The sequence below is a fragment of the Homo sapiens genome, chromosome 8 (genome assembly GCF_000001405.40).
Source record: "Homo sapiens chromosome 8, GRCh38.p14 Primary Assembly".
Taxonomy (NCBI): domain Eukaryota; kingdom Metazoa; phylum Chordata; class Mammalia; order Primates; family Hominidae; genus Homo; species Homo sapiens.
In genome coordinates, this window is record NC_000008.11 from 54,330,427 (window position 1) to 54,338,885 (window position 8,459).

Below are 8,459 nucleotides of genomic sequence, written 5' to 3' on the forward strand. Positions count from 1 at the left end.
TAAGTAACTTAAGTTCACACAGCATAAAATGCAAGTGGCAGAGTCAAGAGGCAAACCCAGGACTGTCTGATTACGAAGCCTGGTCTCACCATTTTATGTCACTTCCTTCCAGTCAGAGCCGACCAGTCTCCAGGAATTTGACTGCTGACTGCATTTATCCACTTTGGGAAATCTCTAGTAATAAAAGGGAGACACGCTGAGTAATAAGTGTGAAGTTTAGAACACAAACCTTGCAAGAGCTTTCAAGAATAAATAAAATTCCAACATGGATAGTCTGGGAGGTCACTCTCCCCAGGCTCTGTGGAAGTGGTGTTGGGGAGCATAGACGTTTGGTCCATGACGTACAGTACAGCCCCTTTCCACAATGCTGGAGATGAAGCTGGGTCTCCTGTCTGCGCCTGCATATTCCTATAGCTTCCCTGAGTCCTGTGGATGATGACTGGTGAGACAAATCGTGCAGGAAACAAGTTTAGTTTGAAAAAAAAAAAAACAACAACAAAAAAACCCAACATATTTGGAATGTGATAGACAACAAGTGAATAGACAATCTCACTTAGAAATTGTATTTAATAGAGTTAATAAATTCAGTTGCCTTTTGCTGGGGAGTATTGAACAATTTCATCTCCCCCAAAAGACTCTGGAGTCAAAGGTGGTGTTTAGACTCCGTTACCCGGAGCACTGGTCTCTCATCTGTGTCAGGTACTTGACACAGAGGTATTTTACAGAGGAGGGGTGCTAAGTCACGAGAAGGATGAACAGGAAGAGAAGAGTGATGACAGGCTGGAGGTTAAGAACAGAGATTCCGAAGTTTCACAGTATGAGTAGGAACTCACTGACTAGCTGTATGCTTTGCTAATGCTTCATCCTCTCCAACATTAAGCTTCATCGTCTGTAAAAGGAATCCCGTAATGTCTATGTCTCAGGGATCCTGTGAGGGTGAGGTTAGGCATCGCACATGAAGGGCTTAGCTTAGCAAGTACTAGTTGCTTGTTAATCTTTATTACAATGGCAGTTGAGCATATACTTTACCTATGGAGCACATTTTACCTCTGAGCACCCTAGAGGAAGGAGAGTTTGGCAGTTTAGCAAGGGGGTCAGGGGATGTAGGAGGATGGCTACACAACGTGCACTAAACTCACAATTAGGGAGCACAATCATGCTTTGTTCCGAAATGGCAAGTTTTTTGACAATGTGTCTTTATATCCATTGCTGGGTTTTTTTTGTTGTTTGTTTGTTTTGTTTTGTTTTGTTTTTAAGATGGACTGTCTCTCTGTTGCCTAGGCTGGAGTGTAGTGGCGCGATCTTGGCTCACTGCAACCTCCGCCTCCCGCGTTGAAGCAATTCTCCTGCCTCAGTCTCCTGTGTAGCTGGGATTACAGGTGCCTGCCACCATGCCCAGCTAATTTTTTGTATTTTGAGTAGAGATGGGGTTTCACCATGTTAGCCAGGCTGGTCTCGAACTCCTGACCTCAAGTGATCCTCCCGCCTTGGCCTTCCAAAGTGCTGGGATTACAGGCATGAGCCACCATGCCCAGCCATCATCCATTGCTGTTTTAAAGAGTTAAATACATCACATTATTGGAACAAATTAAAAAAAACACTCCGAATTTTTTTCTACATATATTACTAATAATTAATGACTTCTGAAGCATCAGCTAATTATAGTTTTAAAGGCCTAGAATTCTTTGTAAGGATAGATGGCATTTTTTCTAGAATCTTCCTTTTGGATGGAGGAGAATAAGGCAAAAAAAGCACTGGATTTGGCACTGGGTAGACCTTGGTTGGAATCTTAGCTCTTAGCTGTGTGTCCCCTAGAGAAATGACCTAACCTCTCTGAACCTCCTTCTTCATTTGTATGATGGGGATGATAATATCTCTCTCATGGGATTTTGCAAGGCACGTGAAATGCTTATTACACTGGGTTCATCTTAGGCTATCAATAAATGGTAACTATTAGTAATTTATTAGTAGCTATCTTGAATCTTTCCCCCTTTTTCTCTTTTCCTTTCCTACTATACAGTATGCTTTTTTCAGGTGAAAGGATACAGAAAAAAAACATTATTGAGCACAGGTCATCAAGTTCCCATGGAATCTTTGAGAAATCAGGGATGTCCTTCTTGCTTTTGACACAACTTCATAAAATAACTCTTTGACCAGCTATAACCCTCCTTGATAGAAGTTACAGATGGAAATGACTGATGAGTTTGTTTATATCCAGTACTTGTATGGTTCAGCCTTTTAACCGATTTGCTTTTTTTTTTTTTGTGATGGAGTCTTGCTCTGTCGCCCAGGCTGGAGTGAAGTGGCGCGATCTCGGCTCACTGCAACCTCTGCCTCCTGGGTTCAAGTAATTCTTCTGCCTCAGTCCCGAGTAGCTGGGATTACTACTATAGGTTCATGCCACCATGCCCGGCTAATTTTTGTGTTTTTAGTAGAGATGGCGTTTCACCATATTGGCCAGGCTTGTCTCGAACTCCTGACCTTATGATCTGCCCGCCTCCGCCTCCCAAAGTCCTGGAATTACAGGCATGAGCCATGGCACCCGGCCCTGATTTTCTTTTGAAGAACTACCACAAAAACGCAGTTTCTTTCCCCCTGCTCCTCAGGGGCCACTCCACATTTTAATGAGATTTTTCCTGATTAAGAGCAAAGATGTTCTTTTGCTCAGTCAGTGGCAGTTTGACCTTTCCTGACTCCTCCCTGCGGCCGCAGCACAGTGCCTGACTTCTTCCATGAAAGAGCTGTGGAGCTGGCAGGGCCTAGGTGCTGGTGGAGGGCCCTGCGACTGGACCAGTGGCTGGAGGGAGCAGGAAGGGGTCTGCGATGTAAATGATGGGTCTGAGGTCACCAAGCAATCATCAGGTGGTTAGAAATATGGACTGGGGCTTGTGGAAAGTTCTCATGGAAATATGCCAGAGGCGGTGGTCATTTGCACAGAGGTGGGAGGTAGACTGTGGCATGGACCGACTCACCCACAGGGAGGAAGAGTGTGAGCTTGGATTAGGGAACACTGTGGAGGAAGAACTTTGAGGCTGGTGGCCTTGAAGAGCAGTAGAAGGAACCAAGGAAACTAGCAGCAGGGAGCTCTTAGAGTGTAGACATCCAACAGGAAAAGTGCCCAGGGTTACAATATCCAAGAAAGGCCTGAGTCTTGGGTCAAGGAGTCAGCATTAGAGAGTGCTGAGCAGTTGGGGATGGACGAAAGCTCACGGTGCGGGTTAGCTGTGGAGTTTTTGGTGACTCTTCAAGTACCAGTTTCAGAGCCAGGTGGAGAAATGTCATCCTCCAATTATAGGAAGACAGATGTTAACTTGAGGGATCAGGGAGACAGATGTACTCGAGGGATCAGGGGGTGAAGGAAATCTTTAGAACAGTCTTCAGTTTCAGTTTTTAGAAGAACAAGGATCTGAAGCAAATTAAATTTTATCAAATAATTATCTTTTTGACAATTGGCTGAAATTTAGGCTGCTCTCTGGAGCAGATTATATAAATACAGAGTTTCAGATATACAGAACACTGCTTACACCAAAAAAGCTGCAAAACAACTAAAATGTTTAAGAAACAATATTAAAATTTCTCATGTTTTAACCTGACCTAACACCTAACTAAAATGCTTTTCAACTGCTTTTCTTCAATGCTTTTCTTTATTTTTTTGAGACAAGGTCTTACTCTGTGGCTGAGGCTGGAGTTCAGTGGCACGATCATGGCTCACTGCAGCCTTGACCTCCCAGGCTCAAGTGATCGTCCTGCCTCAGCCTCCTGAGTACCTTGAACTACAGGCGTGTGCCACCATGCCCGGCCACCATGCCCTGGCCTGTCTTGGATATTGTAGAGTCGAGATCTTGCCATGTCTCCTGGACTCAAATGATCCCCCCACCTAAGCCTCCCAAAGTGCTGAGTTTAGAGGGGTGAGCCACCACGCCCAGCTACTTTTTAACTGTTTTCAATCAGCTTCTTGAGTTTTGTTTTCACTGTTTTAAAACTAATTTCAGCCTTCCTGTTTATTGTTTTAAGATTTATTTTAGCTTTTATTCTAAAATAAATTCTAAAATGTACTTACTGGAGTTTGTAGTGCCTGTTAATTTTGGTGCATCTGATGAATGTTAGCTTTCCCACGTGCTGTTAATAACCAACTCTTCTTATAGCCTGTGACACAGCTTATGGAGACAGCCATGGAACTGCCTTGGATAACACAGAGTCAAATTCTAAGAGAATCAGTTTATTCTTTGGTAGAAATCTTAACTTTTGGGGGAATACATTAAAACTTAAAAATCATATCTATTTTACATATTAAACATTAAAAATTAGTCCAGGTAAAGTAGCTCATACCTGTAATCCCAGCACTTTGGGAGGCTGAGGTAGGAGGACCACTTGAGCCAAGGAGTTCAAGACCAGCCTCGGCAATATAGCGAGACCTTGTATCTAAACAAACAAACAAACAAAAAAACTAGCAGGGCACAGTGGCTCATGACTGCAGTTGCAACTACTCAGGAGGCCGAGGGGAAAGGATTGCTTAAGCCCAGGAGGTAGAGGCTGCAGTGAGCCATGATCATACCACTGCACTCCAGCCTGGGCAACAGAGTGAGAGCCTGTTAAAAAAAAAAAAAAAGTTAAAAATTAACATGATGGCAATTATGTTACATTTAATATAATATAAAATTTATTTTAACACTAACCATTATTTTCTGGTTCTCTGGGTTTCAAGTCTAATTTTCTGTCACTAAAGAACCAAATAAGAACCCATTGGTTCTTAGATTTCTAAATTTCCTGAACTGGAATTTTAAAAAATAACATGCTGTGGCTGGTGGCATGGCTCATACCTATAATCTCAGCACTTTTGGAGGCCAAAGTAGGAGTGCTTGAGGCCAGGAGTTTGAGACCAGCCTGGGCGACATAGCAAGACCCCATCTCTCCAAATTAATAGAAAAATTGGCCGGGCATGGTGGCACTTGCATGTGGTCCCAGCTACTCAGGAGGCTGAGATGAAAGGATTGCTTGAGCCTGGGAAGTCGAGGCGGCAGTGCGCCGAGATCCTACCACTGCACTCCAGCCTGGGTGACAAGGCAAGACCCTGTCTCAAAAAAACCAAAAACTCCAAAAAACAAGCAAAACACCCCCAATAAACAAACAAACAAGAACAACAACAAAAAAACATGCTTAAGGGGTGGGTATTGTGCATACACAGAAACAGGCTGGCCAACTTTTAATTTTGCCAACTAAGAGCATTTTTTTTTCAAAAGCTCAATTTATTATCAGCAACAATGGATCAAAGAAATGGCATGATAATACAAAACTATGTGAGAACATTTAGCTGTATGGAATGAAGTAGGTCTATATCTACTGACAAAGATCTCCAGGATAAATTAAGTCTTAAAAAAAGGCAAGGTGCAGAACAATGGATCGGGTGGATCCATCCAATGTGCTCCCAAGAGTGGACTGGGAGAGAGGGAGACTTACTCTTCATTGAATTCCCTTTTACACCTTTTGAAGTTTGTATTGTGTCTTCAAAAATAAATACAGATAAATTTAAAGATTAGCTTTGTGAAAAATTCATTCCAGTGTCTTGTTTTTCATTTGTCTAGGATCAGTAAAAGCTTTGTCCTGAGACGGGTACTAGGCTGCAAACAGGCTTTAAGACCCTCCATCCTAACCCACTTTCCACTTACTTTCAAATGAGTAAGCTCTCAGGCAGAAGGGGCCAGTCTAGCTGTACCTTAGTCCCCTCCCCCTGAGAAAATGACACATTACGGAAACTATTAGTTCTTAAGAGGGGAGTTGCTGTTTCCAAGATTGAAGAGGAGATACACTATTTCCAAAGCTTCACTTCTTTCCCTTTTCTCTATCCTTGTTTATATAGATGGAAAGGTTCATATAAGGAAACATAGCCTCATAGCATTTTCCTTTCAAGGGTGTTTGTAATGTTCGTGTGTGCCAGAATGCCTGCATTTACTAATATGCACTACACATTGTGTTTATTTCTGTTTCATCAAGGTTTTGCCAGATTATGGCCTGTCTGTGCCTGATAGTGGCTGTGTTTGTGTATGAGCACAGGGTCATCTGATAACAAATTGTCACATCATGCGATTAAGCGATGTTTAAAATGGGTGTAAGCCAGAAAGTGGTCTGACTCCCAGACCACTTTTAGAAGGTCCCATCAACAAAAGAAAGTTCAAGGTATCTTGGAAGAGGTCATTGATTACAACCATCTTGATCATTCTGGACTTGTTCCTTCCTGCAGAGACACAATTAAAATAATGTTGTACAGTAGACATTTTTCATTGTTAGAGGAAGGACACTTTTTCAGACATAAATCAATGTAAAATCTATCTCCTCTTCAGAAAGATAAAAATTCATATTTTTAGAAGCTCGCTCAATGAATTGTATGAGAAGTGATGCTTTATTACAAGCATCAGTGTTCAGTTGCTGTTTCTCATGACTTTCACTGCCACATCTGAGGCCACACAGGCAGACTGTGAGCATCCTGGGCCAGGGACGTCATGTCTGTCACTTTCCCATGCCTGGTATAGTTTTGCAGCACACAGTAAGTGCCTAGCACATTTCCGTTGACTGAATGAATGAATGCTTCAAATTAATACTTACTAGCAAAAAATCTTAACAAAACCTTAACCTTTGATTTGTAATACTTATATTATATTTTTGTACTATTACCTAATCTCTGAATTATCAGTGCTATCATCAGCTATAAAACTAAGTTGGTCTGGAAAGTATTGGAAGATAGTTTTGTCTGATAGCTAAAGCTCAGGAAAAAATGTCACCCTAATCATTACTAGTTTTGTGCTTAAGGGAAAATTCCTTGAATTAAGGTTTATTATTGTCATCATTATTTGTCTCAGTAATATGGACATATAAATCACCTTGTAACTGCTTTGAAATTTAATAAAATGAACAAAAGCAGTGCATTTTCTGTTCTCTTCCGTGAAGTCTGGTAATTTTAGTAATCCACTGCCCTATGAGATACAAGGCAACTCTGTTTCCTCTGTAGTCTGTTTTTTCTTCCTTTCTTTCAAAATAACCTGCCATCTTTCCAAAATAAACATGAGGAGGAAATACATGAGTGGGTATGTAATCACCCAGATATTTGGAGCAGCATGCCTCTAAAAAATTGTAAAAATAGAGTAGTCATCAGAAATTTCTTCTGGTTTTACAGAACTTGTTAATGTTATTTTCTTGTCTCTATAAGAATTTTTAAAAGAAACATTTACATTAGTGTAAAAAGTTTGCCCAAGTGAAAATTAAATAGCTATCCACCCAAAACTTATTTTCCCGTATAAGGATAATCTTAGATTTTTAGAAACTCGGAGTGAACGTCATGAAAATAATTATTTTACAGATTTTTTTTTAGCATTTTAGATTTATAATATCGTATTATATTTCAATCTAATATTTATGAGGCCTCATTCTGTGATGATCTTATTACAGTGTTAATTACGTAATTACATTACAGGTCAATCATAATATGTGTATTTCACATTTGTTTTTAGATACTTTGAATTTAAAGGTATTTTTGGGATTTCTTATAATCCTGGAGGGTTTGTGATACATAACAAACATTTAGAAAACAGGGTTGCTTAGAAGACATCATCTAATGTAATGAGTCTGGTGAATGAGTTTACGACTTTTAGCTTATGGTTCAGAAAATACAAAGATCATTTTTCTCTCTCTTGCCGTTTCTCTTGTCCTCCTTTTTTCCCTCCTCATTCTCTTCTTCACCTGTCTCCTTTTCATCTTCAGCAAATATTATTTAGCATCTACTCTCTATGTTGAGTTCAACAACAGTTCAGAGTTTTCAACTGCTGCTCTTGGATCTCAGAGAGGCTGACCTCAGAGTCAGATCCTGCGCTCCTTCTAGATCATTACCATAGACAGAAACAGACCATTTGAAACATGGTACACATTTATTAATAGAGATCCTACTCTTTGGAGTCTGTGATAATTTGTAGGTAGCTAAGCAAAACTTTTTAAGTATACCACCTACCCATCTAAGGAGAGAGTGTTTCCCAAACAATTTAACAGCATCAATAAGATAACAGTGTTTGCTCCTCTCAGGCAAGTCAGCTGCTTTTGCCCAGGCACATACATGCTCAGGAAGCCTGAAGATGCTAATTACAAATCATTCTTAACTTGTCACTAAAGTTGCAAGGAAGCTTACTTGCAAGCAAATCTTTGTAACTATGGGAAAACAGTTTTGAAGGTCTATGGGTAAAGCTAAAACATTAAATTACAAAAAAACAGTTCTTAATCTAGACTAGTTACACCTCAAATTTCAAATTACCCAGACAGTAACACATGGTGTGAGTAGATCTTGTCTTCCCTTTGAGTGTTGATTTATTACAATTCTATCCACTAAAAAGAACCCATTATTGACTCTCCTGTGAGTGAGTCCTCTAGCCTCGGTTCTGGAGAGAGAGCCCATGAGGTCACGGCTGGCCCTTCAGTGG

General features: G+C 40.6%; 1 non-coding gene across 1 annotated transcript; it reads left to right on the plus strand.

Annotated features, from left to right (window-relative positions):
* Window positions 1-259: 259 nt before the first annotated feature.
* Window positions 260-469, plus strand: RNU105C (RNA, U105C small nucleolar). The gene has a single exon (NR_004385.1). It is a non-coding gene; the product is annotated as an RNA, U105C small nucleolar (small nucleolar RNA).
* The last annotated feature ends 7,990 nt before the right edge of the window (window positions 470-8,459 follow it).